Source organism: Homo sapiens, chromosome 8 (assembly GCF_000001405.40).
Source record: "Homo sapiens chromosome 8, GRCh38.p14 Primary Assembly".
Classification (NCBI taxonomy): Eukaryota; Metazoa; Chordata; class Mammalia; order Primates; family Hominidae; genus Homo; species Homo sapiens.
In genome coordinates, this window is record NC_000008.11 from 3,853,727 (window position 1) to 3,878,199 (window position 24,473).

The 24,473-nt window shown below is 38.3% G+C and overlaps 1 protein-coding gene and 1 long non-coding RNA gene across 4 annotated transcripts in view; one reads left to right on the forward strand and one right to left on the reverse strand.

Moving 5' to 3' along the window:
* Positions 1-24,473, reverse strand: part of CSMD1 (CUB and Sushi multiple domains 1) — a 2,059,554-nt gene that overhangs the window by 918,366 nt on the left and 1,116,715 nt on the right. The gene's annotated exons all lie outside the window — the stretch shown is intronic.
* On the forward strand, positions 7,739-15,616 carry LOC105377790 (uncharacterized). The gene is made up of 3 exons (XR_941369.3): positions 7,739-7,825; positions 13,134-13,214; positions 14,105-15,616. It is a non-coding gene; the product is annotated as an uncharacterized LOC105377790 (long non-coding RNA).

Sequence of the window (24,473 nt, forward strand, 5' to 3'; positions counted from 1 at the left end):
GGGGAGCAGGGAAGGACAGCATTAGGAGATATACCTAATGCTAAATGACGAGTTACTGGGTGCAGCACACCAACATGGCACATGTATACATATGTAACAAACCTGCACATTGTGCACATGTACCCTAAAACTTAATATATTATACTTTAATATATTAATATATTATACTTTAATATATTAATACATTAAAGTATAATATATTAATATATTAAAGTATAATATATTAATATATTAAATATATCATGTCAATATATTTATATATTTAATATATGATACATAACATATAAAATATTATAAATATATTAAATATAATATACTAAAGTATATGTATATTATATTTAGCATATAATATACTAAAGAAAAATTACATTATACTTTATATAGTTATATATTATACTTATATATATAAACTCTATTAAAGTATAATAATAATAAAAAAAAAAAAACACGTCTTGGAAATGGACCAATTCTCATGCTTTGGGAACACTTAAAACATGTGAAACTTTCTTAAAATCTCAGGAGTAATACATTTAACTCCAAAATATGATCAATAATTCTTGTAAGGTGAAATTTTAGTAGTGTGCACTGCCCTTTTTATTTTGTAGTCTTTTTTCAGATAAATTCTTTTCCTTTTGATTTTAAGAACACAGATAATGAATTAAAGTATCATATTTTCAGTGACTTTTTAATGCTACTGTTTAAGAATATCCAAACAGTACAACTTCAAAATTACTTGGCACACGTTATAGCTGTATTAACTTTTGAGATACAGATAATACAGGCATAGTGGCTTAACTGCACGGGTTATGGGCAGTTTCATTTCTGCTTACTTAGCTTTTCTATCTCCCTGCACTGGAACTCCCTCACCCAAGGAGATTCCTAAATCTGGTAGCTCCATTGTCAGGCCTTATGATATAGAATCTGGACAATGTGGAAGAGAGGGGGATGGAGAGTGGGCGAGAAGGGAGTCGGGAAGATGAGACAGCGGGGGAAATGAGTAAGAGAAACTCCAGAGGGGGTAAAAAAGAAAAAAAAAAGATCGATTAAGAAGTGGTGATCAAAATTCATATCGAGCTGTTGATTATAATATTACTAAACATAACAAAAACAGGGAATTGTTAAATCAATTCTAATCCATTTCAGAGTAAAATATTATATGGACATTACAATTCACTCGCAAAGCATTTCTAACATGTAACAATGTTGAGAACGTGATGCTCAATGGAAAAACATAGCATACATACACACAAATGTCCAGGCCCAGTAATCCATACAGCCATACACATTCGGAAATAAACACAAAAACATGCATATGCAGAGAGCTTGAGAGAAATGAGAATACCCCAAAATATCAAGAGTATTTACCTACTACTCTTGAAGCTATGGTTTTAAATATTTTTCTGTACTCTCTATTTTCATAATGTTTCTAATTAAGACAAATTACTTTCAATATAACAAAGATGTATTATTAAAACTAATGGACAAGGCTGCGACAGCTATTTTGTAAAAGAAGAAATAACCATAGATTTTTACTATATTGCATACAAAAATCTGTCTTTGCAATTTAAACTTGAGGCATTAAAAATTATCTATATTTTTTCATCCAGAAGGAAATACACTCACATCCTAATTTTAATTTGCTAGTCTGAACAACAGAACAAAATAAAAACAACAAAAATAAAAGCATATTCTATAAAAAACAAAAAAGTTTAAATATCAGAAATTCTATTTTCATGGTGAAATGTGCTAGTTATGAAGATATAAGCTCATATGTCAAAAAACTTGTTTTTTAATCGCCATGTTGCCACTGTAGGCATTAATGAGTTTAACAGAAATACTGATTAACTGAGTTTCAGTTGGTACAATGCCAGATGACTGAGTATGCTAATTCCTATGACAGTTTACTGCTTGAAACATGAATTTAATTTTCCTGACTTCATTAATCATAACTGTTATTTACCATATAACAGCGTAACCATTTTCTTCTACTGAGAAAATTTCATTTTCATGGGTCATGCGATGTGAAATCCTAGAGTCTGCTGACTTTCTGAGTAAAGACAAGCTTTCTGTAGAATTTTTACTAGTAGGGTATTACGTAAACATCTTTGATTTAGAGTTCAACTGCATTTATTATGACACTTTGGAAACATTGTCTTATTTTCTTGCTTTATACTTGCATTGCCAAATCTGTACGGGTGAGATAAATATTGAATCCCAGAAGCATCTCCCTACTACTGAGTTTCATGATATCTGTCAGTATTAATCAATTTTTTTTTGTTTTTTATATCTAGACAAACATTACCAAACTTTTATGTCATTCACATCATACTGTGGAATGGTTTGGATCTGTGTTCCCACCTAAATCTCGTATTAAAATGTAATTCCCAGTGCTGGAGACGGGGCTTGGTGGGAGGTGACTGGATTGTGGAGGTGGTTTGTAATGGTTTAGCACCATCCTCCCAGTGCTGTTCTCATGATAGAGTTCTCATAAAAGCTGTTTGTGTAGCACCTGCTCTCTCTCTTCTTCCTACTTGGCCCATGTAAGACACACCTGCTTCCGCTTCATCTTCCGCCATGATTGTAAGTTTCTTGAGGCTGCCCCAGAAGCTGCTATGCTTCCTGTACAGCCCGCAGAACCGTGAGCCAATTAAACCTCTTTTCTTTATAAATTACCCAGTTTCTGCTACTTCTTTATAGCAATGCAAGAACAGACGAATACATACTACTCCTAACATGCTGCCCTATGAGTTCTTAATTGGTGAGGAGGAGAACTGCATGAGGATCAAATGGAAATCACGTAATAAATGCAACGACTGTCCACATCATGCGGCACTGGGGCCTGAGTATGGCAGACTGTATTCTAATTTGCCATATTTTATAGTCCTTTTCTATGGTGCCCCTCCCTGCAGCAGCAGTAAACGTTTGCACCCCAGGGAACTCCTAAGTGCCCACATGGCCAGTGAAAGCTGGGAAGATAGGGTATGCTGTTTCCTCAAAAATCTTTCAAAGCCTGTGTTTCCTTTGCCATGGTGTCTTTGTCTCTGAAGGAGACTGAGCATATTACAGATACAGGCTACTCCCTCAGGCTGGGGCCCAAAGTTAACAGAACAGGCAACTGAGCCACAGCAGATCCAGCATGGACATGAGTCATGAAATGAACACTTGTAACTACTCAGACTGGAGGTGGTTTGCTACCACAGTGTAGCCTAGCTATCCTGACAGGTACAAAGAATCAAGTAGAATTTGGAATTTTTTTTATTTGCACAGAGAAATTTTTGTAATGGCATGGCAATGATTAGAAATATATATCGAGGGCTTCTTGTATATCCCACACTTACTTCAGGAAAAAAAAAATTAAAAATGACTAAGACACAGCTCTTTAGTCATAAAAGTAACTAAGACAAAGTTGTCTACGAAGTTAGTGTAAAATGATGGGATAATTACATGGGCTTCATGAAAAAAGTGCCAAAGTTGTACAGGAGGGAGTAATTAATTGATACAACCTAGGTGGTAGAGTTACAAGCAATATTTACAAATGGAGTAATCTTTAAACTGGGCCTTTAGCATTAGGAGGGTTTTTCCTAATTAGGGAGGTGAGAAAGACCTGGCAAGTTAAACAAAACTACACAAACAAAGCTCCTAAGATTTAAAGAGATTGGCCTATATTTGGAATAACAAGTGAAAAACAAAAACTGTGATGGTAAATCCAAGCCAGATGGGACCTTGGAGAACTTCTGGACAAATATCCCACCTATATATATGAGGATACCTAAGTCCAGAAATAGTAGATGATTTGCTTAATATTACTCCACTGGAAATGGCAGAGTCGTCTTCCACACCTGTTCTGTTTCTACGCTGTGTAGACGTGAGGTTTGTGGTGGGGCCAGGTGGAGTTCACAGAGCAGAGGGTGGGGACACAGATGGTCCGAATGAGTGGAATTTTAATACACTTCTTAGATTCTTCATAATCTTCAAATACCAGGTGTGATGATCCATTTACAAAGACAGTTTTTGACAGAGCTTCTATAGGTAAAAATGTGAAGAGAGATGCAATGGGGGAAAAGGATACAACACCAGGCCAGAGTAGAAAAGAGCTTATTCTTTTATAAAATACCTAGAGTTACCTTTGCTGAGTGAGAGATTACGTGATATGTAACAGGGATTGCTTCCGTCCTTAAAATTGACCAGGCTTTGGCTTCCAGCCAATCAAATAAAGCCTACACTGCATGGTGACTTCTCTGTATAAAATTGTTCGGCATGGTGCGGTCTCTGCACAAGATTGCTCTGCACATGTGTTCTTGGAAAAATTAGTGATTATGTGTTGATGGTTGTGTCTGTAAAGATAGCAATTTGTGACTGTCCAATTGAATTTTAATAACATAGTCAAATCACTTCGATCTTAGCTATCTCTCACTAGAGGTAGAAATGGAGGCTTTTTGTCAATTAAGTAATTTTTTGACTCTCTATTTCCATTCTTTAAAATCATAATTCAAAGTAAAAGTTATATAATATTTTGCTTTGATAAAGTCCACAGAATGAGGATGGGCCTTATCAAACCCTCAGGATTTCATTAATATGAATAAAAACTTCAAAGGCTCTTCTTTTGAGAAAAATGCTTAAAATATTTCATGCTTGACCTTGGTTTTATAACAATGATTTAAAATGAATTCTATGCTGTTTCTTACCTTTTAAATCAGTTTTTAATCTATGTTTCATTTAAGCCATATAAAACTACTACTCTATCTTTAGATAATAATTCCAACCATTTGTAGAAATGGAAGGCCTACTTAATTTTGAATAAAAGTGCATAGAGCAAGGTGTTAACTGCATAAATGGACTACTTTCACGAGTAGTCTTAAATTAATAATTTTCACCAAGTTCTCGAAGGCCTATTTAAAACATTACCTTTTTCTATGTATTTAATGCTGTTATAATCTTCAGGAGAACTTTTTTTTTTTCTGTTCGTAATACCCCAAATAAAATAGTCCATAAATCAGATTACATTTTCAAAATAACTTTGGATGTTACACTCCTGTATAACTTATTTAGGATTTAAAAGCACTGAATCATTTCTTCTAATGTTATCGGGAAATAACATGACTTGCATGTTGCATTTTTGTTTCTGTAGAATGCTCCAGTAGGATCAGGTTTATCGTGACAATGTAAATCTATATATTTTACAAATGGATTTGGCGAGTTGGTTGAAGTCAGTTTCAGCAGTGGAAGCAGAATTAAAGTATAACGACATCAATCCCTTCTTCTACTCCACACCTTCATAGTGCTATGAAGTGTTCCCTAAAAGACCTTATTATAAGTGAAATTTTACATTATTCATGTGTTATGTGATATTCATCTTCTCATCCATGCACATTCAATCAGAAGCTCTGAGTACTATGATTCAACCTATCTCTACTCCACACAGGCATAGCACTGTGCCAGACACACAACAGGCTCTCTAAATATGTGCGTAGCAGAGGAGTACGTGGGAAAGCCACCATTCAACTTCTCAAGTGAACGCCATTCAATCCCACTCACTGGTGAGTCTTTCTAGTTTTCCTTCAACACCTATCCATGGCAACCTACATTCGCTCGGCCTATTTTTTGTCACTTTCATTCTCCATAATATTTTAGGTCCAGAAATACTTCTTTTTATAAATATCTTTGGAAATATATTTTGTTTACAGATGTGTAGTAAAGAATTTGGCTCCAACCTCAGAAATGCCTGGACTTTGTGCTTGGTTTCTGGGAGGAGAATCTTTGCCATACTTATATCTTCGTTTACAGCAGGAGCTGGCCACAGTTGGATTTCAGGGCGAGGCTAACTACATCTAACAATCTTAGTGCGAAGTTGGGTCATGCCAGAAAGACCAACCATGTTATTTATGGTGGGAGCTTTGGTTTACATGACGTCAGTTGACCTGAAGAGTGAGTTCAACCATATGGGCAATTAATCAATGAGTCGTGCCTACATAGTGAAGCCTCAGTAATAACTCTGGACACAGAAACCCGGGCAGTCTTCCCTGGCTGACAATCCTGAATACTGCTGCATACTTATGCTCAGAGGTCAATGCATCCTGATTCCGCAGGGAACAGGCAGGAGAAGCTGCACATTTGGAAGCCTCCTGGGTACAGCCTCAGGCATCTCTTCTTCAGATGATGTTTAACATATATTCTTCTTCTGTAATAAGCTATAACCATGAGTGTAATAGCTTTTCATGAATTCCATGAGTCCCAGTGAATTTTCAAGCCTGAGGGTGGTTTTGGGAAACCCAAACTTGGAGTTTGTTTGAGAAGTAAGAATGTGCTTGTGGAGGGTCATGCCCTTGCGCTTTGCAGTATGGTTAGTTGTGGATAATAGGTCACACTTTAAAAAGTTTGCCTTCATATTGATCCCCTTTGAAGCTTAGAATCTAATACATATTAACCCCTCATTTGATAGAGCAGGCAGTAGAAAGTTTGAGTGATTCATATGAAAGTAGGAACAGCACCAGGTCGTGTTCTCCAACTGCCTACTCTGTTTCAGTCAGACCATTGTGAAGTTACTGAGAACTCTGCCCTTGGGAAACGTCCATAAAAACAAAGATCTTTTAGAATTTCAACACAGCCAGCAAGTATAGGGCAATTTCAGTTCATTTTTATTTTATGATATATTAAAAAAATCATCAGTCAAAATGGACTCAATGTTTCTATGTTACTAAAACAATAAAACTTTTTTTTCCTATTTGAATGTAGGAGTTTGCTAATATAGTTTTTAAAATGTACTTGAAGTTCCTTTATGCAAGGTACCTTGTACATAAATTACTCTGGTGGCCTGGATTTACCAATGATATCAGAAAATACGCATATGTATTGCTAACCATATTACACATCATATATGAACATAAGAGACACTATTAGTTACAGTCCATTAATTTTCACCATAATCCGGTTAATTATTATTTTTCTTATTCTTAAGACCACAGAACTTTGTAAGATGAACTAAATGCAATACACGCTAATAGCAAAGTCCACATTTTGAACCCAGGTAAGTTTGAAGGGAGAGAGTAGAGCTGTTTTACTCTGCAACACTTAACTCTAACCATAGTTTTCTGGTGAACAAACGTGTTCTCTAAGAAAAATATACAATCATGAAAAGATCCAAAGTTCACTTTAAGTTCAGGTTAGCACTAGAAATCTAGTCTCTATACTATAGAATTATTTTTAAAATATATTTTCTAGTTGATATACTTCATGCAAAATGAAATGACAAATGAAAGACAAAGCATGGAAAGTATGACAGATATGTAAGTTTTCCTTGTATGAACTGCTGCTCTTAATTTGCTCCTCTCCCCTCCTTTTTCAGTATCAGCTGTAATGCCAACTTCTAGTGAGCTCGAAAACAGGACGTGGCTTTCTATCATATGCCAAAAACACACCTTTAACACACTGTCCTTGGTTCCTTCATGACTCCTCACCTGTTTCTTGGCAACGAGGTTCAGTTGTCTAATGTGATTGCAGTCGCCTGTGGGTTTCTAACGGAGACCAACGTACTATGTACCTGCACTTGAGAAGATCATTAAACCTTCCTTTGTCCTACATGAATATTTTATCTTGGCTGGCATAACTGCCGGGCTCCACAACTCTGATAAAAGTAAAATATGAGCTGTCTTAGCAGACAGCATTGTTCATGGTGAAAATAACCCTGATTGGTAAATTGCATCTGACTGGGGGTACTATGAATGAACAACCTATAGCATTTGAGAGGCCATAGATTTGGACTCGTGAGGGCTGTGCCTTTGAACCTGCACCTGATGCCTCTTGGGAGAATTCTGGGATTTAACTCCACGTGAGCATTACTTGGGAATGGCTCCTATGGTATGTGGGTTTCTGAGCTGAAGTGACCTCACATTCATCTAGGTGAAGCTTGTTGTCTTGGAGATGTATATGGCTCTCCTGTTATTGGAGGTCCAGAGAATAGGGTTTTTTGTTTGGTTTGGTTTTTATTCGTTTTGTGTTTTGTCTGCTATAAAGATTTTACCAAAAGAAATATCCTAACTTTTCTACTGGCCCACTGAGTATCCTGTCTGCTTATCTTTCTAAGTGTGCCGATTACAGATGTGACCTATGAAGCCACTGGCTTTTAAATGTCTAATGGAGCCTAAGAAAACCCACAGTGGAAGTCATAGCATCCAACATGCCTGCATTCCAGGATTTCCTTGCTCCTGGAAAGTCAATCTTTGTACCCTGGTTTAATATCTGTTTTCTGTGATGAATGTGTTTATATCTTGTGGAACATCTAAAACCAACACAATCATTCCATGCCCCAACCATTGCTTGCTAAATCAAAGTTTTCTCTCCCATGTGCCTTTCTTTTTGCCATCAGTGAAAATACACTATCATTTTTTTCAACTTTTTAATCTGCCCTGCTGTGAATTTAATTCAGTTCTCTATTGCCTTCTACCTATACAACATCATAGCAGGTTTTTCTAACTCTTTTACAAATTATGACACATAACTGCCTTAACCTACCTCATACACAGCTTCCACTTAGGGGACTGTGATAACTTACCATTACCTCTTAGAACGAATTTACATTCTCCTTTCTGTCATCTGCCCAAGGGCGTCCACCAGGTGACCTCACTTTGCTTCCTCAGATTTATCCTCTGATGTGGCCCTTTCATTTTCTCTTCCTGAATTTTTCTCTCACTTGTCTTTCATTACATTCTCCTGGAATAAGTGTTCCTTCTCGTAATTCAAATGTGAGCCTTTCGCCAGAACTCAAAGTTCGCCTTTCCCAGACCTTACAACTGTTTGCTACCATAAAATTCACCTTTTCTTTGAGATTTTCAGCACCTGTAATTATGGTATATTTTACTTAAGCTAGAATTTGCTTATACATGGCCATACTATATTTCTCTATTTGCTGAATAAACCAAATCTCTAAATATTTCTTTGGTTATTTGCATTCAACGTGCTTTTCTATATAGGAATTCAAATGATCTCCAAAACAACTGAGTAAGGGAGGCTAGGAGAAATGATTATGTTTGTTTTGCCACTGACGAGATTACACACAGAGAAGTTAACTGCCTATCACAACAGCATTGCCTGCCCTCAAATGGCAAGTTAGGGCAGGTGTCAAAATCTCTTGGTCATTAGTTTTATGCTATTATTACTGTGTCTTAGTTCATTCCAGGACCTATAGCAAATTACATTTGTCTGGGGATTTTTAAACAGCAGAAATTTATAGTTCACAATTCTGGAGTCTGGAGATTCCAATATCAAGGTACCAACAGATTTGGTATCTGGTAAGATTTGCTTTGTCTCTGCCTCAAAGACGGCACCTCCCTGCAGCATCGTCAAAGTGGAAGGAGAGGCAAGAGAGATCCCTCAAGCTTTTTTAAAGGTGCGAAGGTCGGGCGCGGTGGCTAATGCCTGTAATCCCAGCATTTTGGGAGGCCAAGTCAAGGGATTACTTGAGGTCAGGAGTTTGAGACCAGCCTGGCCAACATAGTGAAACCCCATCTCTACTGAAAATACAAAAACTGGCTAGGTCTGGTGGCAGGCACCTGTAATCTCAGCTACTCAGGAGGCTGAGGCAGGAGAATCGCTTGAACCCAGGAGATGGTGGTTGCAGGAGTTGAGATCGTGCCACTGCACTCTAGCCTAGGCTACAGCAATGATACTCTGCTCAAAAAAAAAAAAAAAAAAAGTGCTAATACCATTCATGTGGGTAGAATCTTCGTGACTTAGTCTCTTCCCAATGACCCCATCTCCCTGCCTCTAAATACGAACCACATCAGATATTGGGCTCCAACATTCAAATTTTAGGAGGACACCAACATTCAGACCACAGCGCACTGTTTACAAAAATATAATCTAAGCCTGACATCAAACCTTGCAGTAGGATGTATGTTTTGTTCACTTCAGCTACTGTAAGTTACAAATATTCTAACACACACACACACATTTCTCATATATGCTCAGTGAACAAAAGAATAACATACATGGTCTCTAATTCAGATTTTGTTTTCATTTCAAATGTTAAACTACCCAGAAGAGAATTTTCTACTAGTTTTTCTGCTTAAAAATTCTACAATCTTCTATTATTCATGACGAAAAAAAAAATCAGAAAAAACAGAGTTTAATTTCTTCCACTTCTTTCAGTTTCAAAGATTCGTATGATGACTATAAAACTGACACGTATCCTTTAGAAGCTTATGGAAAAATGACCTCCAGAGGTTTAGAGGTCTGATTCTTTTTCCTGAGGCTGCAGTCTAGGTTTGTAGAAAATTCATAAGGCAGAAACAAACAGTAAACAGGTTTGCAAATCTTAGTGAAGATGAATGTGAAGATGGCCCAGATAATATTTAAGTAAACATACAATATTTTCACCTGATTTTTAAAGCTGTTGATATTTTAAAAAAAAATGTGACCAGCATTTATGGATCACCTTTAATATTATAGGAAATCTGCTAAATGATAAAAACAGAATAATAATTCAGAAATACTCCTTGCTCATACAAACCCATAGACTGTTGTTAAAATTAAACTCCTGTGGGAATCATAACTCAATAATTTGGCCAATATTTGTTGAGCTCTTTTCCTATGAGAGGACAGTTATGGTTATGAAAGACGATGCATAGATAACCACAGAAGGGGCAGGTATATACATTTTTAATCAAAAGGTGCAAAGATGAAGGTGAGAAAAAGCATGAGAAGAAAGGAATACAGTATGAGAAGGGGTTAAGGAAAAGAGGGAGGAAGACACTTTTTTTATTATACTTTAAGTTTTAGGGTACATGTGCACAACGTGCAGGTTTGTTACATATGTATACATGTGCCATGTTGGTGTACTGCACCCATTAACTCGTCATTTAGCACTAGGTATATCTCCTAGTGTTATCCCTCCCCAGTAACCCCATCCCACAACAGGCCCCGGTGTGTGATGTTCCCCTGAAGAAGACACTTTCGACTGATGAAGGTGCCCTACTGGGAGGTTGGAACATTATGGTAATTCCACACTCCCCTCCTCTCCTAGTAAATTAAACTATAGGCACCATCGTGGTTAACTAGATGTTATTATAGCTCTTCAGGGTCTAAAGAGCTATTTGTTATACAGAAACATTTCCTAGACATTTTCCTAGTTTTGGCCAGACTAGAATTAAATAATTAATTTCTTTGTATACTTAGTAAAACAAGAAGTATTGCTCTACGTGGTCTCGGACTTCTGTTCTGGGTGAACGAGCAGCTTTTCCTTCCAGTTTTGGCAGCATGACATCATCTGCTTTAGTCTGGTTGAGGTGCTAGCTAATCTCCTAATTTGTCAAGTAAGACATGCTTTGATTCTATTTCTCGGCATATGCCAACAGTGTTACTTTGGTAACAATACTCCACACACTATTCTGGCCTCACTTTCTCATCATTTGTTCTGTGTGTGTTCCAGCTCAGGCTCCGATTCCTTGGGTGTAGAGGCACCTCTGATATTTAACATCTTGGAAAATGACAGACATAAGTCATCATCTCTGTCCTCAACTACCAACCAAGTAGGGACAGTAAGTTACTTCTGCCTCACATCTCAGAGAGCGGTACTTCAATGTGACATACGCACTCAATTTTTAATCTGTAAACTCTGAAATGCTCTTGCTGGTATGAAACTGGGTTTGCAACTGAACACATTCCCTCAGTCCCTGGGCTCCTTGCACAGCTCTGCCTGCAAGCGAGACTGTGAGGGCTCAGAGGCAGAGTCACAGGTGCTCTTCAGAGATGGGAGGTGCTCTGGGAAATCAGAAAAGGGTGACAATAGTGGGGGAAAGAGTTGGGGGTGGAGGCAATGAGGGACCAAGCAGGCACGTACAGTGGGAAGCCGCAGGAGAATTCAGGTGCCTCTCATCAGCAAAGCGCCAATGTGTTATTCCTTCATGTATTTATTCACATCATCGATGAAATTCCATCAGTCCTGTTAAGTACCAGGCACTGTTCTAGGTTCCAACGGAGCAGTAAATACAACAACAAAATCTCCATTCACAGCTTACATGCTAATGGAGTAATGCTATTTGCTAGGTTTCCGTCATATTTCTCTAAAATAAGTGCCTCTTTTTTTGGTATACTGTAAATACCCTTCTCACATTGCTCCATTTGAGCTGGAAACACGTGTTATAGTATACTAGAATTATAAATAGCAATATTTACAAGTAATTGTCAAAACCACATTAATTAACTCCTCATGTTTCCCTCGTGTCTGGGAATGTAATTAAAATAATGAAAAGTGAAAGGAATTTCACCATCATCTGTAGTCATGTTAGTGAGATAAATCGCCACCAGAAAACACAGTAACACTTAAAAAGAACAAGTAAAATGTCTTTAAAAATTCTATTCATGAGCTTTCTTCCAAATAAGGATTACATTATTCCATATGTAAGTGTTTATGAATACTCTGAAGATATAACATTAAGGTTTTAATTCACAACTACATACACATCTAAGCCTAAATGAGTAAAGCATTATTCCTAATTCTAGTTTTGTTGCCACAGATTTTGAATACCATTTGTAATTACCTATAAACAACATTTTTAAATAAATACTTCTTAAAAGGAAGCTGCTGTAAAAGGCTGGCTGAACCCTGGGGATTGGCATTTCTGTCCTTTTACTGGAATACAGAACATTCATGTATTTCATTTACCATTGCTTAGCTCATATGGTTTAGTAAATGGAAGCGTTTCCAATTTGATTACCTGATATGTTTAAATAGTGTGTGCTTGTGATATTAATATTTTACACATTTCCTGTTGGGTGCCTGACGTGGTAAAGCATCATGATCTAATGTGTACGTTTTGGTCTTTAAATGACCTTTTTAGTTCTGGTGATGACACTAGCCACTGAAAACACCTTATAGTCTCTTCTTTCCATCCCTCAAACCCAAAGTCACTATTTGGAATGTGATTCAGGAAATAATAAGCTTATAAGATTTCTATAGATACAGCTGTTCTCAAAGCTATTCCATAAGGTAGTCCTTGGCCACTACAAAGCCACAGGGATTCTCCTGATGGTACAAACATATGCAAAGTGAGGACTCTTTCCTTCAATAACGGCTCACAAATCCTTAATATGAAGGACTTCAAATCGGTATTAATCAACTAAATTTACCATGTTACTAGGACTCCAGTTCTGCTGCAAATCCTCCTGCAAGACATGGTGATGTTTTCATACTGCCACTGGACATATGCATGTATGGATTTGTAAGTACCACCATTTTCATGAAAAACCATTTTGCTTATACCATAAAAGTGGTGAGTCAGCCAATATTTTTAATTCTGTGCATTAAATTAATGCACTTGTAGAATTGCTATTTAGTTTTTACTTTTCCAACCAGTTTTTTAAAAATATTGTAACCATTTTGATTGATTGATTTTTTTTCTACTATACTGTTTTTCCACTGAGTGGTGGAAAAAGGCAGAATAGTTCACTGGTCTTTGGTCTTGTCAATTGTATATATAGACAAAAGAGTGAATTAATGCATGAATAAATTAGTAACTAGCTAGCTAGTGTAAGAAGCAAGACCATACCATTACATATCTTGAATATAAGGAAAACCATGACCAGTCTAATGATTACCACAAACAGTAGGGTAGCCTAGGAGGACAGACTGGATGTCTCTTCTATTGAACTTTATAATACCCCAAATTTCCATTCTTTTCTTTTAAGGATACTTACTCAGGAGTATTTGCCCTTGAGTCTTCCTGGCTATGGTTTAAATAACTAAACAAAATATATCTGACCTGCTGAAGAGGGTGTCAGAATAAAACAGATATGTTTTAATGTGTCCCAGACAACAGAAGGCTAGTGAGAGACGTCTAATCCTCTAATGAACTGTGTGGATATCTGAAACCTAAACAAAAATTTTAATCTATACATATATCTATATATTTATATATCTATATCTATGTATAGTATCTTGGTTAATCTTCACAGAAACCTAGAACCATGTACTACACTTAACTCATGCAGTTGTTAATAATAATAGCTGCTTATGCAAACACTGGCACAGGAACCCTCCTCCCAGGGCCAGGCAGCTTCCTGTATATGTGGAGTATGACTCACATTCCAACTGACCTTCCCTCAATTCTAGGCCTCCATTTCCAGGATTGAAGAAGCATGGACCACTGGCCAGATCTTCCTGAACCGTTCCCAAGACTCTGTGTCACCTCCGCCTCCTGCCTGGACACCCTTACAGCCAATCTTTGTATGTCTTCTCTGGTGTTTATGTCACTGTGGGAGACCCAAGATTCTCAGGTCACACACCTCATCCTTCCTTCTCCAATCCTGATTTGGCCCTGCACCCTGATCTGTCCCTATCACCCATTGCCATATCTCTCATGATGCTTAATTCCTTGCATGCACAGTATTTAAATTATCCTAGCACTTTCTGCTTGGCAGAAATCACAGCCCTAATTCCACTCCACTCTGCTGAACCAACACCTGGTGCAGTTGGATGTACTGCGCCTGTAGAAAAAACCCAGAACGAGGATGGGGGGGCATCTCCATTTAACTTTATGACCATTGCTCTGAAGTGTGCCTTTTCAGTCGCCCTGCTTGCAGGAGAGATTTCATTTTCACCCGGAGACATTTATTTTTTGCCTTCCTTTCTCCCTAAAGTCTCCAGTAGTGCCATCTGCAGGCCACAGGTCCCTGCTGTGCAGATGGTCCACACAAGGGCAGCTGGGGGGCAGCTGTAAGCCGATCCCATGCCACCTGCATCAGCCAAAAGGAAGGGGCTCTCTCATTCAACAGACACAAAGAACACTTACCAACACCACCAATTCCCAAATGCGTACCTGCAGCCTGAACCCTGTTCTGAAATGTGGATTTGAGGGTCCAGCAGCCCACTCAGCTCACGCAATAGGACCCGAACCTCACATGCATATAAACAAGTTCCTAATATTTCTCCTCAAACTCATACCTCTGCAATCTTTCCATCTCATGAATGCAGCGTTATCCTTCCTAAAAGCCTTGGGGGCACTCCTGACCCTCTGCTCTCTCAACCCACATCCAACACATCAGCAATTTCTGTTCGCTATACCTTCAAAATATAAGTAGAATCTGATCAGTCGTGTTTCATGGCCAATGTGCTCATCCAAGCCACCATTTTCTCAGGCTGGACTGTTACCATCGTCTTCTAATTGGTGTGCTTGCTTCCATCTTTCCAACATCCTCCCTGGCTAACACCCCAGAGCCAAAGAGACTCCATTACAACCTAAGTCACATAACTCTTCTGCTCAGATGATGCCGATGGCTTTCCAGCTCTCTCGAAGTAACAGCTGCAAGCATATTTACAGTGCCCTCAGGGTCCCTTCGTGGCTGCCACGCTGACATGACCTTAGGGACCTGGTGTCTAGTGTCACTCTCCTTGTTCACAAGCCAAGAGCTCCAGCTCCACCTGTCTCCACACCGTGCCCTGAAATACACAGATGTGCTGCACCCTGAGGCTTCTGCACTAGGCCCTCCACCTCGGTGTTTCTCTGATGCTCTGCCTAGCACTGCATGCCTTCACTCAAGGGTCTCTTTCTCAAATTGTGACACACCACATTCTCCTTCTCTGCTTCATTTCTCTCCATGGCATGTATCACCTGTGGCTATACTATATCCTGTATAATAAAATTATATAATACATAGAGACTGATAGGTCTATGAAATTGACTTATTTTGTTTACTCCTTTTCTCCAATCCTGTCCTGCCTTCATAAAGCGTGTCTCACCTTAGTTTTAACTTGCATTCCCCTAAATGGCTAGTGAGGCTGAATGCGTTTGATATGCTTAACAATATTTTATCATTTCTTCCTGAGAGTGCCTGACTTGGTTCACAGGTAGATATAAACCTATCTATCAGATATAAATAGTGAGAGAAAACATGCACTTTCTCACCGCTGAGCTAACCTGGGGAAAGTTCTGCCTTTCTAGTTGCCACAGGAGGAAAGGTGCACAGGTGCGCGCAGCCAGGAGCATGTGGGGAAGCTCATCCTGGCAGGACCCACCCCAGCAGAAGCACTAGCAGGCAACACGGGGCCAGGGGTTTGATGTCAGGGAAGGCAAGATGGGAGCTTGCCAGATTTCCGTATCAACTGCCACTTAATAATCACATTCCATGCTTTTATGAATTATCCTTACTGATCTAATTTTGTATCAGTAGTGCTTGAAGGGCTTAAAGGAAAAACTAGCCCTTTCCTTAAGCAAAAGAGAGTGAGCTAGCTATATGTCATCTATATATTTTAAAATTACAATAATAATACATAACTAGAGGAAAAGTGTAAAGAAATACATTAAACAAAAAGTAGGCGTCTCTTCATTGCTTAACTGTAAGCATACCCTCTGGGTATAATGATTATTAAGTTATCTACTAATAACATGCACTCTATAAACAGGTAGAATAAAAACAGAGATTACACATTATTTTACAATTTGAATCTTGGTTAAAGAGGTTCTTCCAGAAAGTCAAGAAGAAAATGTCAACCATATTTCTCTTTCTAGCAAAATTAATAGTACACTGAAATTAAGATTATTCAACTGTGTAAACGTGTTACATACCAATATTTCCACATTATATATCCTCAGATTTTATTTTTATTTTTACTATGATGATTTGTAGCACATATGTAAAAAGACCAGTGCCTTATGGATACCTCTTTTTTCCCCCAGCTATGCACATAGCACTCCATGAAACATTTATATGCATATATCTTTACATGTTGGTGGGTATTTCTCTCAAAGAAATTATTAGAGTTGAAATTGAGGGATTAATGTCTAAGAAAAATTTACCGTTTGAGAGCTATGGTCAAATTACCCTCCAGAAATGTCCAGCCATTTCTCTCCAACTATTTGTAACAGAGGATCTCTTTCCCCAAACTCTTCCAATATGTTTATGAATCTTACAGGTGAAATGGGATCTACTTATTTTTGCTTTTATTTACCTGAATATTAGAGGGATGTTAAGTATTATCTGATTTATATTCATTTATATATTCTCCTCTGTTAATGTCCTATGGCCATTTTTAACCATAAATAAATGTATATTAATTAGAGCTACTCAGGAATTGCATTCTTATTGTAAAACATACACAGGAGAGAAAGAAGCATCTCCAACATTAACACCATTCTGTCTTAGGTTCCTTAGATGCCTGAGTTTAATGTTCCGTTTGCTAGCTTTTCTTCTTTTATTGCATGTACATAGCTTTTTATGTATTCATAAATGTAAATTTTTGTTTTATATTCTTAAATATAAGTTAATTTTTTCTCATTCAATGTGTTATAATTTTTTTAAAAAAATTCAATACATATAAATCTCCATCTTTGTGTATTATTCCATGACTTACGTATGTTAAGCCTTATTTAACAATTGTCCTATTAATAGACATCTAGAATATTTTCAATTTTTTAAAACAAGTAATACCTCACTCATCATACTTTTATTTGCCTTCTAATGCAAATGTGCAAATATTTTTCTACAATGTGTACCAAGGAACTATATTAAAATTAGAGAATACATATTTTAGCACTTAATAATGCCAAATTACTCTTCAATAAAAAGCTGCACTGATTTATACTCCTACTAGTAGTGTTGGAAAATCACAACATCATAGTTGATATTGACAACTATTATGTCTCTTACTAAAATAATGGATTAAAAAAACTTGCATTGGTTTCTTCAACTTGCATTATTTTCCTTTAACATGCATCATTTAATTTCAACTTGCATTATTCTAAATTACTAGTGAGGTTGAATTTATTTTCATAGACTTAATAAACATTTGTATCTCCATAATGAATAATGCTTGATTTTAATTTTTCTTAGTCTATTAGGTTATTATTATTGATTCATAATTTTTATATATTAGGAATATTAGTCTTCAAATTCAGATTATACAGGATATATTTTTTCTCACTTTACCATTAGTCTCAACCTTTAATCTTTTCATACAGAGGTCAATCATTTTCACCCAGGTAAATGTGTCTCAAAAAATTGCTTTTGAAATCCACCCTTCTAACATTTGAGAATGTGGGTAAAATGGTGGATGACATAAAGATTAAATGTAAGAGTTGTTGATGTGAATGAAGTGTGAAGCTTGTGAAGGCTATTACACAATTAGCTTGTGAGCCAAGAACTCCCTTCTGAAAGAAAATAACAGGTGTTGATTTTGAAATAAAGATAAAATGAATTAACGTAGCCCTAATCTTCTGAAAAACACAGCCTAAGTTTTGCCATTTTCTATTTGTGAGCTACAAACCTGCACTATTTCCTATGCAATGGTGTGCAGTGAGTATAGTGGTTAACACATTATTTTGGATACATTATATTGCTCTTTTAGGATACAACCTGCTGAAAGGCCAATTCCCTTTTGGTTTTCTCAAATTTCTTTCCATTCTTATTTGTTCTTTTTCTCATTTCATGTTGTTTTAACCCGTGTTTGGATCCTCAGTTAAATTACAGTGTTTAATGGAAATGTGAGATCGTATACTTCATTCTGGTTGTTGTCGTTGTTGTTGTTTTTAGGGAAAAGGGTTCTTCTGTGAACTGAACGTGTCAGGTTTGGGGTCACCCTGTAAGTGCCATCTGGCTCATTCTCAGTTCTCCCAGCTTTCCCCCGGCAAAGTGCCAGGTGCTGTGTTGGCAAGATGTCCCTGCTTCAGTGACTCTCAACTGTTCATTACTACCTTCCTGAAGTGTCCAGTTAAAACGCATTATCCGAAGCCCACTGTGCAAATGAAAAAGCTGTGGGACAAGGCAGGTAAAATGTGCTCCCTGGTGCCTGAACTAGGTAATGTTCTGCCAGGTCACTGAAAGGCTGATCTCAAGAACTGAGGTTGTCTGTTTCAGAATTGCTTGATAGAGTTCAGTAAAAAGGCATTCATTTCATGTCAGTTTCCACAATCCATTCATTTTCTCTTAATTTATTAATGAGTTTATTTCCTGAGCCCTTCATTCATGAAGAGCCTCGTGCTACTTAGAAGGCCTTGTTCTCACTATTAACAGAGTGAACAGATAACCTTCAAAACCGGAGAAATTTTTTGCAAACTACCCATCCGACAAAGATCTAATATCCAGCATTTGTAAGCAACTTAAACAAATTTACAATAAGACAGCTCCAAAAAAAAAAAAGAAAGAAAAAAGAAAACAGCTGCATTAAAAAGTGGACAAACAACATGAACAGACACTTCTGAAAATAAGACATACATGTGGCCAACAATCATATGAAAAAAAGCTCAACATCACTGATCATTAGAGAAACGCAAATCAAAACCACAGTGAGATACCATCTCACACTACTCAGAATTGTTGTTATTAAAAAATCAAACAACAACAGATGCTGGCAAGGTTGCAGATAAAATGGAACATGTATACACTCTTGGTGGGAGTGTAAATTAGTTCAACTATTGAGGAAACTAGTATGATGATTCCTCAAAGACCTAAAAACAGAACTACCATTCAAGCCAGCAATCCCTTTACTGGCTATGTAGCCAAAGGAACAGCAATCATTCTATCATAAAGACACATGCAGGTGTATGTTCACTGCAGCTCTATTCACAATAGCAAAGACATGGAATCAACCTAAATGCCCATCAGCTGTAGAATGGATAAAGAAAATGTGATATGTATATACCATATAATACTATCAAGACATAAAAAAAAATGAGATCATGTCCTTGGCAGGCACATGGATGGAACTGGAGGCCATTATCTTTAGCAAACTAACACAGCAACAGAAAACCAAATACCACACGTTCTACCTTCTAAGTGGAAGGTGAATAATAAGAACACAGGGACACATAAAGGGAAAAACAGACACTGAGACCTACTGCAGGGTGGACGGTGGGAGGAGGGAGAGCATCAGCAAAAATAACTAATGGGTACTCGGCATAATACCTGAGTGGTGAAATAATTTGCATATCAAACCCCCATGACACTAGTTTATCTATATGACATGTATCCCTGAACTTAAAATAAAAGTTAAAAATAAATAAATAAATAAAAAGCCTTTTTCTCAGTATTAAGGATACAGAGAAAAATCAGATGGCCTGAACCAACGTAGCCCTTGATTAGACTGGGAGAAAGAAAAGCACACATGGTCACGGTGTTTGTAGTTTCTGGATGTTAGGAACACAGAGGAGATATTCATTTAAGCCAGACTGGCTGAACTGGGGGAGGTCACTGATCTTGGAGACAACTAGATCTGACTTTGGATTCTGAAAAGAGAACAGTGCAGTCTTGAGGGCTGTGTTGGTGACATAGGTCTGTTTATACACACTGTGCGGCTGTAGAACTTCTCTGTCAAATTAGCATCTGTAAAGCTTTCCACTTCCCTCCCCTCAAATTTAGGAAGTTCTCTGTGCTATCCTCAGGCTGGGTTCTTTCACTGCCCTCTCTCCAGGAGGCCTACCCCTTCCCCTGGGGATGCAATCTGCTATGTGCTATAAAGTGTAATTATCTAGTGTTCCACAGCCATGGAGAAGACCTTCCTAACCTTCCTGCAATTTTCTAAAGGATGAAGAGCATGTTTATTTTACTGTTAGAATGCTCAAGGTCCCTGTGTCCCTGGACCACCTGTACTTTGGAAATACAGGCTGCGTAACTCTTATCTAAAGTGAGGTTTTGAAAAATTGTCTGTATTTAGAACTCTTTAAAGACGTACTTTTCAGTGACTCCTACAGTCATTATAGGTTTTATCCCTGGATCAAACTAAGTAATCAGAAACCAGAAAGCTCAGACTTCAGTGCTTGAACTTTTACAGACTTCTTTTATGACGTTGCATTGAAACACATGCTGTCGGCGTTCATTGAAGACATACAAGCAGCATCTTAGGGAGATGTTGCTGCCTCTGTGATGGAGATCTTCTTAAAAGCATCATTCAGTAGATTAAGTCTCACATGTGGAATATGTTTTTTGGTTTCCAAAAGAAGCTGCCATGTTTTTCTCTGTGGATGATGAAAACTCTGCAAGTCCCTCCTACAACAAATGCGACTGGCGCCCACTGCTCTTGGCAATGGAGGTGAGAACATACCATGTCTGTGACGGGGAAGGACAGGGTTTGGAAGGAGATGCAGACATTAAATAGGACACACACCAAAGACGGGGTCAATTTCGGAGGATGAATAAACCCATTAAGAAAACGGCAAAGGGTGGTGAGATCCACTGCGATGCTGCGCACCAGTGATTTGAATAAGACTTGGGGAAGACCTTGGGGCCTGACATTTAATCTGAGAGCTTCTACCATGAAGGAGCCAAGCAGGATGGACGTCTGGCTGCATCATCTCAAGAAGAATGGATGCAAGCACAAAGGCTGGCATGAGCTGGGGCGGCTGAAAGAGCAGAAGAGCGGACACAGAAAGGTGCCTGGGGACCAGATCCTAGAGGGGCTTCAGGAACACATTGTGGGGTTTGGAAATTACTCGATGTAAAATGCGACACTGGGGAATGGACTGTAGCGCAGTGGGGAAGGAGTGGAACAGTGAGGCCATTCGGGAGCCACCACAATGGTCCTCATGATTTGAATTGAGACCATAGCTGAGAAGAAGGATAAAAGGCAATATTTACACTGCATTAAGGATCCTAAACTCAAAGAATTTGCTGTTCTATTAGGTGAAGGAGAATTAGATACTAAGAAGGACAGTGAGTGACGTTTTGGCGACTTCTGCGTAGACATGGTCTATGAAGTTATGGATTGGAGGAGTTCCTGCAGGAGGGAGTGAGATGATGTAGGTGAATGGGTGGAAAAGCCCGAACTGGGTTCCGAGGGTCACTGGCATGGAGAGGTGGAGAAAAGGGGAGGAAGCAGCCGGCATGGAAGAAGGAAAGCAGGAGAGGCTCCTTCAGGAGGAATGTTTTATTGGAGAGGAGTCCCATTGTGAGAGGAGGAAGAGGAGGAGGACCAGAGTTTCCTCACAGCCTCCGGAGCATGGAAGTGGGTGGTGAATTCCAGGAGAGCAGCTCTGGCTGAGGTCTAGGGAGGGGGCAGAATCTTCTCGAGTGGATTGAGGAAAGAAAGGCAGTCAAAGAAATGGAGACAGCCAGTGAAGACCTCCTCAAAGCTTTGTGGTAAAGGGAAGGTACAAAAACAGCTGAGAGCTTGAGGGAATTTGCAGATCAATCAAGGATTGCCTTTTGGAAACACTAGAGTGTGTTCCAAACTTGGTAGGAAATCACAAGCAAATTTCCATGTTTCTCTTTATGAGGAGATCAATGGGAAGCTCGGAGGCAAATTTATGGAGTAACTGTAAAATTGCGAAGGGCCACATGTCTTACATTTCTTCCTACAGTTCTATTTCCAGTTTTTATACCCTTTGATCTTAATACTGCATTTTAATTACCTATTTTGAAATATACTTGTTGTCTTTTCTATATATTTGTTTTCTTCCTTTTAAAAAATAAGTTAAAAAAGCAAGAAATTAACCTCTGGAAACCAGTGACAGTCATGTTTTGTGAAGGAAACTCATGTTTGAAAGGAGGGGAGGGGAAAACTCCTCTCACCCCTGATATCGCTAAGCCAGACGTTTAAAATCAAATGCATTCACGTGTTGTTTTATTTACCTTAGAAGTTTTTAGAATTAGTATGGGAAAAGGTGATGCACATTTCAAAGCCCAGGATGACTGTTGTGTTAGTTTTCATGTATAGTGTTGTCCTAGAGTACTCAATAAACTTTCCTGTATTTCTAAAGAATTCTGCACTTAGAAGCCTGGAGACACCATTCTCCTTTTATTCCTGTCTCTTGTTGGAGAGTCCTAACAGAATTGATAAAATATGTAAGTGTGTAAGTGTGGATGTAATTTATTAGGAGAAATTTATTCATATTTATTCCTAAAAAATTATTAATTCTAAAATGAGGTACTGGCTTTTTATCATGCTTCATGGTATTGTTTTTGTTTGTTTCTTTGTTTTTGAGACAGAGTCTTGCTCTGTTGCCTGGGGTGAAGTGCAGTGGTGCTATCAGTGCGCACTGTAGCCTTGACTTCCCAGGCTCAAGCAATCCTCCAGCCTTGGCCTCCTGAGTACCTGGAAGCACAGGCATAGGCCACCAGGCACAGCAAGTTTTTAAAAATTTTTTGTAGAAACGAGGTTTCACCATGTTGCCCAAGGTGGTCTTGAACTTCTGACCTCAAGTGATTCGCCCGCCTTGGCCTCCCAAAATCATGCGTGGGATTACAGGCATGATCCACTCTGTCCAGCCTCTCATGCTTGGCTTTTTATCATGATTTATTTAGAAGCACAAGAAATAATTCATAAGTCATAACACAGATCTCAAGCAATAACATACTTTCATATGAAATGTGAGCATTTTCATTTCGTATAGTGTTTTTTTGCCTGTCGTAACCACAATGTCTTAAGGTTCTTACAAGGGAGATTCAGCCTGAAGTAGTGCAACTCCTCGGTGAAGCAGGCGAATTTTGCACTTTCCCCATCCCTTCCTCTACCTTTCCTACAGGAGAAGTGACTTTTGGAAGAAGGAAGTGGACACTGGGCTCAGCACCCCACACTGCTTGCTTTGAGACCTGCCTACAGTGAGCAGATGTCCTGGTGTGGCCCTTGATGCGTGGTGAAAGGAAACTTCTGCATGCTGGGAGCCCTCCAGGTGTCCAGCTGTGTCCATGATGGGGGAGGCATGTGCTCTTCCATGGCTACCTGCCAGACATGGCTGCAGACCGAACCCACGTTCCATACAGGCTCAGAAGCGGAGTCTAGCGTTCCAGATGAATTCTCTTAATCTAGCAGGCCCTACAGCTCTCTCAATTTGCTTCTAAGACGAGGGAGGAAATTTACTTATGGATACCCTCAAGCTTCGATGTTCCCCATATTCAGGTAAAGGCCAGAGAAAAAAATGAGCTCTTCAGGGTTACACTGTTAGATCTAACAACCAGAATCCACAATTTCTGCCCAGTTCATCTACTCCTTACAGTAGAATGTCTATTTTCCCCTGAATAAGGGTCTGAGCACATGGCTTGTACATTTTATATATTTTCATATGCAGTCACAATAAAATAGCAAGTTTGACCGTTAATAATTCACTTTGATATGTAAATCTAGCGTTAGCATGGCATGTTAAGTTAAATGGAACATTATCATGGAGATTGTATATTTATAGAACTGACTTAAATTTTGTCTAATAATGACAAACAAACATTACTAAACCATTCAGAAGGAAAATTGTATCTTCAAGTAAATCATTTTATAGGTCGTGGCCATGACCTAAAGCTTTGTCTACATCAAGGTCATGCAAAGTTTTTTTTTTTTTAAACTTAAACTGAATGTAAATGATAAAACTTTCCAAAGATAAAATGATTTATTAGTACCTCCATCTAATTACATATTCATGCTGGGTGGTCATGCATTGAACATTTGCTATCAGCTTCTGCCTGTCTTCCTTCCTCCTTCCCTGCCCACATTCCTTTCCTTTTGTCTTTGTACATTTTTTGCACGAGAGATTCAAATGGAGAATTCCAAATTTTGTAGTTCA